This window comes from Homo sapiens, chromosome 15 (genome assembly GCF_000001405.40).
Source record: "Homo sapiens chromosome 15, GRCh38.p14 Primary Assembly".
Classification (NCBI taxonomy): Eukaryota; Metazoa; Chordata; class Mammalia; order Primates; family Hominidae; genus Homo; species Homo sapiens.
Genome location: NC_000015.10, coordinates 41,092,861 through 41,108,106, shown reverse-complemented (window position 1 = coordinate 41,108,106; position 15,246 = coordinate 41,092,861). Strand labels below are relative to the sequence as shown.

The window sequence follows — 15,246 nt, the reverse complement described above, 5'->3', positions numbered from 1 at the left end:
ATTTTTTGAGACATAGTATTGCTCTGTTGCCAAGGCTGGAGTGCAGTGGTGTGATCTCGGCCCACCACAACCTCTGCCTCCCGAGTTCAAGCGATTCTCCTGCCTCAGTCTCCCTAGTAGCTGGGATTACAGGCATGCACCACCATGCCCGGCTAATTTTTGTATTTTTAGTAGAGATGGGGTTTCACTGTGTTGGTCAGGCTGGTCTCAAACTTCTGACCTCGTGATCCACCCTCCTTGGCCTCCCAAAGTGCTGGCATTACAGGCGTGAGCCACCATGCCCGGCCTATTTATTTATTTATTTATTGAGACATAGTCTCGCTCTGTTGCCCAGGCTGAAGTGCAGTGGCATGGTCTCAGCTCACTGCCACCTCTGTTTCCCAGGCTCAAGCAATTCTCCTGTCTTAGCCTCCTGAGTAGCTGGGATTACAGGTGCCCACCAGGACACCCAGCTAATTTTTATATTTTTAGTAGAGACAGGGTTTCACCATGTTGGCCAGGCTGGCCTCGAACTCCTGACCTCAAATGATCCACCCTCCTTGGCCTCCCAAAGTGCTGGGATTATAGGCATGAGCCATCACACCTGGCCTAGTTAGTTATTTTTTAATGACAGAGTCTTGTTCTGTCACCTGGGCTGGAGTGCAGTGGCACCATCATGGCTCACTGCAACCTTCATCTCCTGGGTTCAAGCAATTCTCCTGCCTCAGCCTCCGAAGTAGCCGGGATTGCAGGTGTGTGCCACAATGCCTGGCTAATTTTTGTATTTTTAGTAGAGATGGGGTTTCACCTTGTTGACCAGGCTGGTCTCGAACTCCTGGTCTTGAACTCCTGGCCTCAAATGATCGCCTGCCTTGGCCTCCTGAAGTTCTGGGTGTGATCTGCTGTTCTGGGCCTAAGAGTAAACTTTAATGTATGCAAATTAAAAAAAATTTTTTTAGAGGTCAAGGCCTTTCAGGCATGCAAATCTTGACAGGAGAAACTAACTGTATCACAAATGTGTGAAACAACCTTGCTAAACGGGAGGAAGGTGCTGATTTAAGTAACTTTGGAAATGAGTGGAATCTGTAAGACAAAAGGGACTGTACATAAGCGTTATACTTTAATTGATAAAGTTACATTCCGAAGGGGCAGAGGTTAACAATTCTGATACTGGTTTAAAGGAATCAGTACTGATTACATAGGTAACTACAATTGAACAGTTAAGTAAATGGATGGCAGGAGGCAGGCTTTTCACTGTTGGAGTGGAATTTACAGATAAGCGAGGCAGGAGGCTAGAATAATCTTTGTGGTAATGGATTCAGGTTGGAGATACCAGTACAAAATAGTTCCATGTTTATATGTAGAAATATTTATAGATATATGTACATACTTGAGTTAATATACACAAATATATTTCCATTCATTGTCAGCTGAGAGTTGAAAGAAACAACACCTAGGAGTGCACCTAGTGCCCAGATCTTGGTTTCTTTTTTTTTGTTGAGACAGGGGTCTTGCCCTGTCACCCAGGCTGGAGTGCAATGGCATGCTCACTGCAGCCATGACCTTCCAGACTCAAGCTATCCTCCCACCTCAGCCTCCCAAATAGCTGGGGCTGGGACTACAGGTATGCCACTATATGAGTTTACTGTATGCTCACTGTATGAGTTTACAGAGTTTAACTGTGTGCCACTATGCACAGCTAATCTAATTTTTTTCTTTCTTTCTCTTTTTTTTTTTTTTTTTTGAGACAGGGTCTGGCCCTGTCACCCAGGCTGGAGTGTGGTGGCATGATCTCAGCCCGCAGCAACCTCTGTCTCTTGGGCTTAAGCCATCCTCACACCCCAGCCTCCCAGGTAGCTGGGACTATAGGTGCTCGCCACCACGTGTGGCTAATTTTTGTATTTTTCATGCAGACAGGATTTCGCTATGTTGCCCAGGCTGGTCTCAAACTCCAGAGCTCAAGTGATTAGCTTCCCAAAGTGCTGGCATTACAGGCATGAGTCACTGCGGTTGGCCAAAGTTTTCTATTTTTATAGAGAGGTGGGTCTCCCTATGTTACCCAGGCTGGTGTTGAACTCCTGGGCTCAAGCAGTCCTCCTGCCTCAGCCTCCCAAAGTGTTGGGATTACAGGTGTGAGCCAACACACCTGGCCCCGGATCTTAGTTTCTAATATTATTCTCCAATAAAAGAAACTAGTGCTCCTTGGAGAAATGGTTGATTCTGTGATTGGGGCAGGAAATATACATAAGATGAACCTTGAGTATCTTGTTGTGCCAAAAAATAAGGAAGTGCTCTAAAAACAACAACATTTCACGTTAATGGGTTATGTCGAAGGAGCAAAGGAACCAACTGAAAGTTTCCAGTGGCCAAAGCTGGAACAATTTGAGTAGCAAAATTAAAGCAGAATTGGATTATGACCCATAGTATAAAATAAAGTTTTATATTGATATAAACAAATGATTGAATAAATTAAAATTCTCCTTGAAGTACTCCAGTGGCATAGTTTTATGTCGTAGGAGCCTCTAATTTGCTGGAAGTACTTCATGCTTGGAGTACTTAATCTTGTGGGGCTTTGAAGTCACACTTCTTGGATTCCAATCTTGGCGCACTTCTGTTTGTATGATCTTGGGCGAGTTAGTTAAGCTCAGTTTCTTTGTATGTAAAATGGTGGTTGTAATAGTATCTGCATCATATAAGGTTTAAATGAAAATGCAAACACATATGAAACATTTGGCATATAAATCTCAGTAGAATGGGTGAGCATGTAGCCTCCTTACTAAGTATTTGAGAAAATAGGGACATTTGGATCCCCACTTGGAATTCTTTATAATGGAGGTGCCCCCCCAACCCCCAAGCTTTTTGCATAAAGGATAATGTTTAACATTTAAAGAAGTGTTTATCAACCACCTGGTTTGATGTAAACATATCTCCTTGTTGATTGTTAGACCACATAGTTAATAGAGTGAAAGTAGTTACATTTGCTCTTTATGTAATTATCACAGATATGACTGACTTAAATATCTACAGTTTGAAAAGCAGGATCCAGTTAGTGTACAGTTCAACTCATGCTTATTTGCAGATGGTTTGTCTTTGGGATGAATTACCTGAACTTTGATTTTCAGACTTCTTTGAGGAGCACAGTTCTACATAACTTGTCTGTTACTACCCACACTGGTTAAGTGTATCCACTCCCATAATGAAAACTGACTTTTAGTATAGTAAAATTAAATATAAAAGTGAATTTTGTACAGAATACATAATTCTGTACAATATAAATACTGATAAGTTGGCCGGGTGTGGTGGCTCACACCTGTAATTCCAGCACTTTGGGAGGCCAAGGCAGACAAATCATTTGAGGTCAGGAGTTTGAGACCAGCCTGGCCAACATGGTGAAACCTCGTCTCTACTAAAATACAAAAAAAATTAGCCAGGTGTGGTGGCTCATGCTTGTAATCCCAGCTACTCGGAAGACTGAGGCAGGAGAATCCCTTGAATCTGGGAGGCGGAGGTTGCAGTGAGCCAAGATTGGACCACTGCACTCCAGCCTGGGAGAAAGAGCAAGACTCCCCTTTAAAAAAAAGAAAAGAAAAGAAATAAGGGCCTGGCAGTAACTAGAGAGTACAAAGCAATCAGCCCAGGATTACTCATGAACACAGCTCAGGAAGTCTGATATATGTGGGTATGATTCTGAAGCATACATTTACCATTAACATGAAGCTGTTGGCAGGGCAGCTGAAATATGATCAGAGTTCGGATTCAGGATAATGAGCCAGAGTTCAGGGTGTGGAACAGGCTATTCAATGAAGAATTGTTCCAAAAACATATTGAATAGTTCTTTCATCCTTAGCAATACAGTATGAGCCTCTGGTCAGATGAATTTTATTTTATTTTATTACTTTTTTTTTTTTTTTTTTTTTTTTTGAGATGGAGTTTTGCTCTCATTGCCCAGGCTGGAGTGCAGTGACCGCAACCTCTGCCTCCTGGGTTCAAGTGATGCTGCTGCCTCAGCCTCCCAAGTAGCTGGGATTACAGGCATGCACCACCACACCTGACTAACTTTGTTGTATTTTTAGTAGAGACGAGGTTTCTCCATGTTGGTCAGATGGCTGGTCTCGAACTCCTGACCTCAGGTGATCAGCCTTCCTTGGCCTCCCAAGGTGCTGGGATTACAGGCGTGAGCCACTGCGCCTGGCAGTCAGATGAATTTTAAAGAGCCTCTTTGCGCGAAGTGAGACAGGTCTGATAGGAAGTTAAGAGACATTTTAAAGGAACTCTTAATTTGCCTGGAATGTGGGGAAGTAGTAAAAGATTAAATTGTAAAAAGTAACTCAAAACCAGATGATAAAGGTCTTTAAATTTCAGGCTGAAGAATTTAGATTTTATTGAGTTTTGGAAAACTATTGAGGAACTAATGGCATAATCAGAATGATGAATTTGGGCTGGGCACAGTGGCTCACACCTGTAATCCCAGCGCTTTGGGAGGCCGAGGCAGGTGGATCACTTGAGTTCAGGAGTTTGAGACTAGCCTGGCCAACATGATAAAATCCCGTCTCTACTGAAAATAGGAAAAATTAGCCGGGCGTGGTGGCGGGCGCCTCTAATCCCAGCTACCTGGGAGGCTGAGGCAGGAAAATTGCTTGAGCCAGGGAGGCGGAGGTTGCAGTGAGCTGAGATCGCGCCACTGGACTCCACCCTGGGTGACAAAGCGAGACTCTGTCTCAAAAAAATATAAAACAAGAACGATGATTTGGGAATACTGATCTGGAAGTATCTGCATAGATGAATTAGAGTGAGAAGAACCTGGAGGTGGGAAAGTCAATTAGGAAGCAGTAGTCTAGGTGTGAGGCTAAGAAGCTAAATGAAAACACTGATAATAGGAAGAAACTGACATATTCCAGACATTATTCCCAAAGAAGAATTAACTACACATTGGGACTCACTGCATGCCAGGAGAGAAGTAGAAGGGGGTGTAAAAAATGATTCATAGATTTTGAGTCTGAATAATTGTTATATAAATAGGAAAGACAGATGAACTAGCTGCTGTGGAGGCATATGAGAAGTTTGGGTTTGTAGGGGCTAGAAAACATCTAGAAAGCCTTTCTAGAAGCATCTAGAAATGTGGATTGTATGCTGTGCAAGTTGAGAGCCAGAGGGTCAGTCATACAGCAGTGTTAATTGAATTCCTGGTAGAAGATGAGATTTTCTAAGGCGTAGGAATAGATGACAGAACTTTGGTGTACTCCGCATTTAGAATAAAGTTTCAGTCAAGGAGTTAAGGAATAGTCCAAGTTTTCAAAGATTATTAAATAGAGTATCCAAAAGCAAGAGTCACTCAACAATATCAACTTCATTCATTCTGATAAACAGTGGTTATCAGAGAGCATGGTTCTCAACTGTATCAGACCCAACTCTCCTTTTTTATTACAAATATTTTATAATACACCCTTTTTTTTTCCTTTGAGACAGTCTTGCTCTGTTGCCCAGGGTGTAGTGCAGTGTGCACGATACTGGCTCACTGTAACCTCCGCCTCCCAGGTTCAAGCGATTCTCCTGCCTCAGGCTCCCAAGTTGCTGGGACTACAGGCAAACCCGCCACCACACCTGGCTAATTTTTGTATTTTTTAGTAGAGATGGGGTTTCACCATATTGGTCAGGCTGGTCTCGAACTCCTGATCTCAGGTGATTGCCCGCCTCGGCCTCCCAAAGTGCTAGGATTACAGGCATGAGCCACTGCGCCTGGCCTAATATGCCCTTTTTAAAATCCTGAAATGAAATCTATAGGTAATATATAATTTTAAAAAGCAGTATGATGCCCTAATTGTAATATATTGGGGAAACATAAATAAAGTAACTTACACAGTATGTACTTTAAAATGCAAATGCATGGGCATGAACCCATAATAAGTGACATAAGACATAGTCGTATCTTCTTTTTTTGAGATGGAGTCTTGCTTTGTTGCCCAGGCTGGAGTTCAGTGGCACAGTCTTGGCTCACTGCAACCTCCACCTCCCAGGTTCAAGCGATTCTCCTGCCTCAGCCTCCTGAGTAGCTGGGACTACAGGTGCGTGCCACCAAGCCCAGCTACTTTTTTGTATTTTTAGTAAAGGCGGGATTTCACTGTGTTAGCCAGGTTGGTCTCGAATTCCTGACCTTGTAATCTGCTCGTCTCAGCCTCCCAAAGTGCTGGGATTACAGGCATGAGCCACCATGCCCGCCAAGAAATAGTCATATCTTTTGTACTAGTATGGAGAATCACCTTGACTAAGAGTTACAAATAGGCCGGGTGCGGTGGCTCACGCCTGTAATCCCAGCACTTTGGGAGGCCGAGGTGGGTGGATCACGAGGTCAGGAGATCGAGATCATCCTGGCTAACACAGTGAAACCCCGTCTCTACTAAAATACAAAAAAACTTAGCCAGGCGTTGTGGCGGGCGCCTGCAGTCCCAGCTACTCGGGAGGCTGAGGCAGGAGAATGGCTTGAACCTGGGAGGCGGAGCTTGCAGTGAGCAGAGATCTCGCCACTGCACTCCAGCCTGGGTGACAGAGCAAGACTCTGTCTCAAAAAAAAAAAAAAAAGTTACAAATAAAGTCTGTTTGTGTTGGTGACTCAAATATCACAGCAAGTAAGAGGAAACTATTGAGCTAAGGTGAAATAAAAGAGGATGGAATGATTTGCTCTTCAGGCTCTTCCAAGATGAGCGGGGAATGACTTCAGCATTTTGAGGAAGAGGGAAAAAAGATTTGAAGTAATCTTGGTAGAGAATGAGAAACAATTGGTAGAAGGTGGGTAAAAGGGTTATTGAGAATTATCAAGTGTTTTGCTGAAGTTGGACGATAACAGATGGGTCAGGTTGATGGCCATGCAGTTTCCTTGTAGGGAATAAGAGACAAATGAGGAGATGAAAGTGGTTATTGCAGCAGCAGCTTTTAACATGCTAATCAAGACTAGGCTGAATTGAGAGGCCAGCAATCTTAAAAGGTGATTAAGAAATGATTGTCAGCCGGGTGGGTGGCTCATGCCTATAATCCCACTACTTTGGGAGGCTGAGGTGGGTGGATCACTTGATGCCAGGCGTTTGAGACCAGCCTGGCCAACATGGTAAAACTCCATCTCTACTAAAAATACAAAAATTAGCTGTGTGTGGTGGGGTGCGCCTGTAGTCCCAGCTACTTGGGAGGCTGGAGGTGAGAGAATCACTTGAACCCAGGAGGCGGAGATTGTAGTGAGCGGAGATCACCCCATTGTGCTCCAGCCTGGGCGACAGAGGGAGCCTCTGTCTCAAAAAAAAAAAAAAAAGAAAAAATTGTGAATGGTAGTAATGGTTGCACAACAATGTGAATGTATATAATGCCACTGAAGTGTACACTTAAAAATGGTTAAAATGGTAAGTTTTATGTCTTTTGCCACCATAAAGAAAAAAATTGAACACTTAAAAAATATAACTTGGTTCTCCAGATGTCATCATAGGACTTCTTGTGGAGAATTTTGTGCTTACAGCACCTTTTTTTGGTGGTATTGTGGACATAAGGGAATTCATTGCAGCTGTCATTTCAGCCATCAGTGGTGATATGCTGCAAAGATGATTTCTGGGATGAATCAGTTGACAGGACTGATGTATACTGGGTGTCAAAAGGGAGCATATATTGAGGATTGTAAGACTAGAAGTTAACTGTGATCTTTCTTCAACAAATTGTTTTTGATTTCATACTCACATAGGTACTGAGGAATAAGTTTTGAAAATATTCCATTCATTGGCCGGGCACAGTGGCTCACACCTGTAATCCCAGCACTTTGGGAGGCCGAGGCGGGCGAATCACGAGGTCAGGAGATCGAGACCATCCTGGCTAACACAGTGAAACCCCGTCTGTACTAAAAATACAAAAAGTTAGCCTGGCGTGGTGGCAGGCGCCTGTAGTCCCAGCTACTCGGGAGGCTGAGGCAGGAGAATGGCGTGAACCTGGGAGGCAGAGCTTGCAGTGAGCCGAGATTGGGCCACAGCATTCCAGCCTCGGCTACAAGACTTTGTCTCAAAAAAAAAAGAAAAGAAAATATTCCATTCATTTCGAATCACTCCGTATTACTTGGTAGTCATACCTCCTTAATTAGTGTCATTTTCCTTATCAGGTAAAATAACTAGAGCATGGATTAATTGTTCTGTAATAAAAGCTTGGGATGGAGCCAAGCAGAGTAGTTTTACATTTATACATGTATCAAGATGAATTATTTGCTGTTCTCTTAAGGGAGTTTTGTTGTATTTTAAAAACCAATTTCTTTGAAATCTTCTGGAGTGGGTGGGTACACGTTAGGTCTCATTTTGAAAAGGTGAAATTTAAAGTTTTTTTTTTTTTGGATAGTCTCACTCTGTTATGCAGGCTGGAGTACAGTGGTGCGTTCATGACTTACTGAGGTCTCAACCTCCTGGGCTCAAACCATCCTCCCTCCTCAGCCTCCCAAGTGGCTGGGTTTACAGGTGCATGCCACTACACTCAGCTAATTTTTAAATTTTTTTGTAGAGACAAGGTCTCGCCATGTTACTCAGGCTGGTCTTGAACTCTTGGGCTCAAGCTCTCCTCCTGCCTCACCTCCCAAAGTGCTGGGATTACAAGCTTCAGCCACTGCTCCTGGCCAAAAGTATTTTTTAGCATTCTTTTTTCTTTATATTACCAAGACTGACAATTTACAAACTATGAAATTCACATAATTTAAATAAAATATACAGTTCAGTATATTTTGAATATATTTTTGGTAGATTTACAGAATTGTGGAACTATCGCCACAATGGGAGTTTGGAACATTTTTTTTTTCCCTTTTTCTTTCCCTCTCTCTCACTCTCTTGTTGTGTGTGTGTGTGTGTGTTTGTTTTTTTTTTTTTTTTTTTTTTTTTTTTTTGAGACAGGGTCTTACTCCAGGCTGGAGCACAGTGGCACAATGATAGCTCACTGCAGCCTTGACTTCCTGGGCTTAAGCAATCCTCTCACCTCAGCCTCTTGAGTAGCTGGCACTACAGGCACGCATCACCATACTTGGCTAATTTTTAAATTTTTTGTAGGGACACGGTCCTGCTATGTTGCCCAGGCTGGTCTCAAACTCCTGGGCTCAAGGGATCCACCCACTTCAGCCTCCTAAATGTTGAGATTATAGGTGAGAGCCACTGTGTCTAGCCTGTCTTTTTTATTATTCTAGTGGGTATGAAGTAGTATGGTGCTTTAATTTTAATTTATTAATATTTAGCATTTTTTCATGTGTCTATTAGCTAGTCATACATCTTTGTTGGTAAAATGTTCAAAATCTTTTGCTCATTTTTAAATTGGGTTATTTATCTTATAGAGTTGTAGGTTTTATGTGTACACACTGACAAACAACTGTGTAAAAAAAAAGTTGTATATGTGGATACAAGACCTTTATCAGATAGATGATTTGCAAGTATCTTCTAGTCTGTGGCTTGTCTTCATTTTCTTTTTCTTTTTTTTGTCACCCAGGCTGGAGTACAGTTGCAAGATCATGGCTCACTGTAGCCTCAACCTCCTGGGCTGTAAGTGATCCTCCCACTTCAGCCTCCCGAATAGTTTGTCCAGAGGCCTGTGCCACCATGCCCAGCTAATTTTAAATTCTTTTGAAGAGATGAGATCTCACTGTGTTGCCCAGGTTGATCTTGTTTTCCTGGGCTGAAGTGATCCTCCCACTTCAGTCTCCCAGAGTGCTGGGATTACAGGCATGAGCCACTGTGCCTAGTTTGTCTTCATTTTCTTAATGATATATTTTAAAGTGTAAACATTTTTAATTCGCATGGGCTAATTTTTGATCTTTTGTGCTTTTGATTGCATATCTAGAATTTTTTATGGTCAGTCATGAAGATTTTCTCCTGGTTTTTCTAGAAGTTACACTGTTTTAGATAGGAAAGTTATATTAGAAAATTGTAAAAAAAAGAGAAGACAACTCAAAGATGTATGATTGCCTTTAAAGCTTATCACTTAGTTGGCCGGGCGTGGTGGCTCACGCCTGTAATCCCTGCACTTTGGGAGGCTGAGACAGGCGGATCACAAGGTCAGGAGATCAAGACCATTCTGGCCAACACGGTGAAACCCTGTCTCTACTAAAAATACAAAAAAACCGCCACAAATAAACAAAAAAACTTATCATTTCATTTAGTTGTTGTTGTTGTTGTTGTTTTTTGAGATGGGGTTTTGCTCTCGTTGCCCAGCCTGGAGTGCAGTGGCACAGTCTCGGCTCACTGCAACTTCTGCCTCCCAGGTTCAAGTGATTCTCCTGCCTCAGTCTCCTGAGTAGGTGGGATTACAGACGCCTGCCACCATGCCCAGCTAATTTTTGTATTTTTAGTATTTTTGTATTTTAGGCTGGGTACAGTGGCTCATGCCTGTAATCGTAGCACTTTGGGAGGTTGGGACTGGTGGATCACCTGAGGTCAGGAGTTCCAGACCAGCCTGACCAACATGGTGAAACCCCATCTCTACTAAAAATACAACAAATTAGCTAGGTGTGGTGGTGGACGCCTGTAATCCCAGCTACTTGGGAGCCTGAGGCAGGAGAATCACTTGAACCTGTGAGGCAGAGGTTGCAGTGAGCTGAGATCACCCTACTGCAAGAGCGAAACTCCGTCTGAAAAAAATCATAACAATAATTTATGGTTTATTGAGTATTTATGTCATTTGGTGGGCTTATTAGTCTAAATTATGTCATTATTTAGTCTTCGTGTAACCCTTTAAGTATTTAGAGATAACCAGGTATAAGGCAGATGCTACTGTTTGAAAGTGGTGGGAGAAGGCTGGGCGCGGTGGCTCAAGCCTGTAATCCCAGCACTTTGGGAGGCCAAGGTGGGTGGATTGCTTGAGGTCAGGAGTTCAAGACCAGCCTGACCAACATGGTGAAACCCCGTCTCCACTAAAAATACAAAAATCAGCTGGGCGTGGTGGTGGGCGCCTGTAATCCCAGCTACTCAGGAGGCTGAGGCAGGAGAATTGCTTGAACTCCAGCCTGGGTGACAGAGCGAGACTCCGTCTCAAAAAACAAAAACAAACAAGAAAGTGGTGGGAGAAGCGTTGTTATACTGATTGTGTGATTGTGTGATTGTGTCTCTAGTGAAGATGTTCTGACCCTAATGTTGTCTTTAACAATGTAAGGTAGCAAAGAGAATGCTTAGGCTATACCTGTGTTTCTCACCCTCACTTTTACTCTTTTAGCTCCAATTTTCTAAATTTAAATTTTACTCATTATGGCATTTTTACAAAGGATAGTAAAATACTCTGCCAATACATCTATTCCCTTGTAAATAAGATACCTTACATATATGTATGAATATGAATTCAAAATGAAGAGGGCAGCACCTATTTTGAAGGTGATGCTGAGAACGAGTGCTCCTCTAGTACTTTCCTTTCTGAGGTGCACAACAGTGAGCTTGGGGTGTAGATTTGGATAGTTGTTTATTCATAGTTTTGGGTAATTTTTTATTGAAAGGGATAAAGGAAGTGGGTATACATTTTAAGATACTGTTTTGAAAAAGTATAGTATGAATTTTCATTGTGAAATGTAACTGTGTTGCTGTATTTTTATATTCTTTATATCCTTTTAACTTCTGCCTTTGCTTTAGGAGGCAGTGTCTAACAAGAGCTTTATCATGATCTTTCTGCAGACTCCTGTCTTTTCAGTGTCTTGTGTTCTAGAAGGTCTGATTTCTCTTCACATTGGGAACAAGCAGGCAAGAGAAAGGGAGAATGGATAGTAATTTCATCTTTCACTTCTTATCTCTGTTCTGCAGCCGTGCAGTCGGAGGTCCTTGTGCATGAAGACAGATTTGTTCTATGGCCTCGGAGTTGGGTGCCAGGGATGATGGAGGCTGCACTGAGCTGGCAAAGCCCCTCTATCTTCAGTACTTGGAGAGGGCCCTCCGGTTGGACCATTTTCTGCGACAAACGTCAGCTATCTTCAATAGGAATATTTCTAGGTATGTTATTGTATCTTTGCAATATGTTTTACCAAATTCCTGATTTCCATCATCCTTACAGATTTTACAGGATTAAAGTATCTTATGATTTTTATGTTTGATATTTTCTTTTGCCTCTTTCAAATAAAAAAGTCAATTTATTTCAGAGGAACAGTTTCTTCTGTAAAGTGTCCAGTTCTAACTTTAAATTATATTTTATTGGGTCAGCTGTAATTGTGGACTCATTCTTCAATTTATAGTGATGACAGTGAAGATGGACTGGATGACAGTAATCCATTATTGCCCCAGTCTGGGGATCCCTTAATACAAGTTAAGGAAGAACCTCCAAATTCATTGCTTGGTGAAACTTCTGGAGCAGGCAGTTCTGGAATGTTAAACACATATTCTCTGAATGGAGTTCTACAGTCAGGTCAGTGTGGTGTGACATCCCCCTTTGGACTATCGTTATCTTGGGGCAGTCATCCTTTAATTTTTTTATTCTTTGTGTTTCTTTATACAGAATCAAAATGTGATAAGGGGAATTTATATAATTTCTCTAAGCTGAAGAAAAGCAGAAAGTGGCTAAAGGTAAGAGATAAAGCAGGGTGTTTACAGTGCAGATAGTCTACTAAAGTTACTAATAGATGGGAAAGTTATCAACTCATTTTGGCAGATTGACAGAGTTTTTCAAATATGATTCTCTTATACTGGATGTGGTTTTTTTGAAGAGATTATTGAGAAAATCTGGAGGATTCAATGAAGTCATTTAGCAAACATGAATTGAGTACAGGTTGAGTATTGCTAATCTGAAATGCTTGAGACCAGACGTGTTTCAGATTTTGTTTTTGAGACAACATTTTGCTCTTGTTGCCCAAGCTGGAGTGCAATGGCATGATCTCAGCTCACTGCAACCTCCGCCTCCTAGGTTCAAGCAATTCTCCTGCCTCAGCCTCCTGAGTAGCTGGGATTACAGGCATGCGCCACCACGCCCAGCTAATTTTTTTGTATTTTTAGTAGAAATGGGGTTTCACCATGTTAGCTAGGTTGGTCTCGAACTCCTGACCTCAGGTGATCTGCCTGCCTCAGCCTCCCAAAGTGCTGGGATTATAGGCGTGAGCCACCGCACCCAGCCTCAGATTTTTTTTTTTTTTTTGAATATTTGCAATACAAAATGAGATATCTTGGAGATGGGACCCAAGTTAATAAACACCAAATTCATTTATCTTTTATATACACCTTATACACATAGTCTGAAGGTAATTATATTTTTCCCTTGGGGATGTTGAATAAACTCTGTTTTGTATACCTGTGTTTTGACTGTGACCTGTCGCGTGAGGTCAGGTGTGGAATTTTCCACTTGTGGCATCTTATTGGTGCTCAAAACCTTTGAGATTTTGGAGTATTTTGGGTTTTTAGAATAGGGATGCTCAACCTGTTATAACGTACTGAGGGGAAACAGGAAGTACAAAAATTTATCAGATGAAGTCCTTGCACTCATTGGGTCACATAATCAGGAATATTAATTCCATAAGTTCCATAATTTATATTAATTCCATAACTTCCATAAGTTCCTGAGTAGTTTATTCATTTAACAGATGTTGATTTAGTGCATCCATGTGCATGTGCCAGGTACGATTATGGTTGGGCAAGTTTCCTGCCCAGTGGTGCTTACATTCTAAAGGAGGCAGGCAGTTAGTAAGCCTGTAAACAAGTAAATAAACATGGCTTCTTTAAAGACGTAACATTTCAACTGATTCTGAATGATCACAGAGAACCATCTTATATCCAGGGTAACGGCATTTCGGTCAGAAGGAACAACTGCAAAAGTCCTGAGAAAAGAAACAACTTAGTATGTTTGGTGGAAAAAGAAGTCTAATATGGCTAGAGCACAGTGAATGAGGAGGATGGTGGAAGATGAAGTTACAAGACTGTGATCACACAGGCTTTGTCTATGTTAAGGAGTTCGTGTTTTACTGTCGTAGGCATAAGCCGTTGGAGTGTTTACAAGCAGAGAGGTTGTTAATCTCATTTACACTCTTACAAGATTACTGTCAGTGGCCAAACTGAATTAAGGATAGTATTTCTTTTATTGAAACTAATTATTTCTCTTTTATACTTTTGCTATGAAGTACTCAAAAGCAATTAAAACCCTTCATTATTATCACTAGGTCCTTCAAAAGGCTCATGTGTAAAAGGTCCGATTTGGTTAATATCAGTTGCACTTTAGGCTGTTGGAAATGCAGAAATTGTTATGCTTAGCCGTCATATTTTGAAAAATTGAGTTATAATTCATTGTCATAAAATTCACCTTTTCATTTTATTTTATTTTTATTTATTTATTTTTGAGACAGGGTCTCACTTTTTCACCCTGGCTGGAGTGCGGTGGCACAATCTCAGCTTAGTGCAGCTTCGACCTCCTGGGTTCTAGTGATCCTCCAGCCTCACCCCTGTGAAGTAGGACTACAGGCCCGCACCACCACGTTCAACTAATTTTTGGGGGTTTCACCATGTTGCCCAGGCTGGTGTCGAACTCCTGAGCTCAAGCAATCTGCCTGCCTCAGCCTCTCAAAGTGCTGGGATTACAGGTGTGAGCCACCGTGCCTGGCCAAATTCACCCTTTTACAGGTTAAAATTTAGTAGTTTTTCGTGTATTTACAAAGTTGTATACCCATGATTACAATGTAATCTCAGAAAATTTTTAACATTCTGAAATGAACCCCGTACCCGTTAGCAGTCACTCTCCATTTTCTTTTTTCTTTTTTTTGAGACGGAGTCTTGCTCTGTCGCCCAGGCTGTAGTGCAGTGGCGTGATCTCAGCTCACTGCAACCTCTCCCTCCTGGGTTCAAGCGATTCTCCTGTCTCAGCCTCCTGAGTAGCTGAAACTACAGGCGCTTGCCACCACGCCTGGCTAATTTTTGTATTTTTAGTAGAGACAGGGTTTCACCATGTTAGCCAGGCTGTTCTCAAACTCCTGACCTTGTGATCCCCCCGCCTCAGCCTCCCGAAGTGCTGGGATTACAGACATGAGCCACTGAGCCCGGCCGGTAGTCACTCTCCATTTTCTATTTCCTCTGTCCTTTGGCAGCGACTAATCTGCTTTTTGTCTGTATTGATGTGCCTCTTCTGGAATTTTTGTTTTTGTTTTCTTTTTAGGAGACAGGCTCTTGCTCTGTTTCCTAGGTTGGAGTGCAGTGGTGCAGCCATAGCTCACTGCACCCTTGAACTCCTGGGGTCAAGCAATCCTTCCTCCTCTGTCTCCCAAGTAGCTGGGACTATAGGCACATGTCTTTTTCTGTAGAGAAGAGATCTTATTAGGTTGCCCAAGCT

The 15,246-nt window shown here is 42.1% G+C and overlaps 1 protein-coding gene across 5 annotated transcripts in view, besides 1 other annotated feature; it reads left to right on the top strand.

The window, feature by feature from the left end:
* The window catches only part of INO80 (INO80 complex ATPase subunit), a 137,401-nt gene that overhangs the window by 8,174 nt on the left and 113,981 nt on the right, over nucleotides 1–15,246 (top strand). For all 5 annotated transcript variants that reach the window (NR_104038.2, XR_001751322.3, NM_017553.3 and 2 more), the window contains exons 2-4: nucleotides 11,754–11,939; nucleotides 12,179–12,348; nucleotides 12,439–12,506. Coding sequence is in view for 3 of the 5 variants with exons in the window: in NM_017553.3 (NP_060023.1) it covers nucleotides 11,797–11,939; nucleotides 12,179–12,348; nucleotides 12,439–12,506 (381 nt within the window). In the remaining 2 variants the exon portion in view is untranslated. The remainder of the gene's footprint in view (nucleotides 1–11,753; nucleotides 11,940–12,178; nucleotides 12,349–12,438; nucleotides 12,507–15,246) is intronic.
* Nucleotides 1,310–1,510: a silencer, noted in NCBI's record as "peak2303 fragment used in MPRA reporter construct". NCBI's record gives its function as "represses an SCP1 promoter by STARR-seq MPRAs in K562 erythroleukemia cells {active_cell/tissue: K562}" and the evidence as "EXISTENCE:reporter gene assay evidence [ECO:0000049][PMID:32103011]".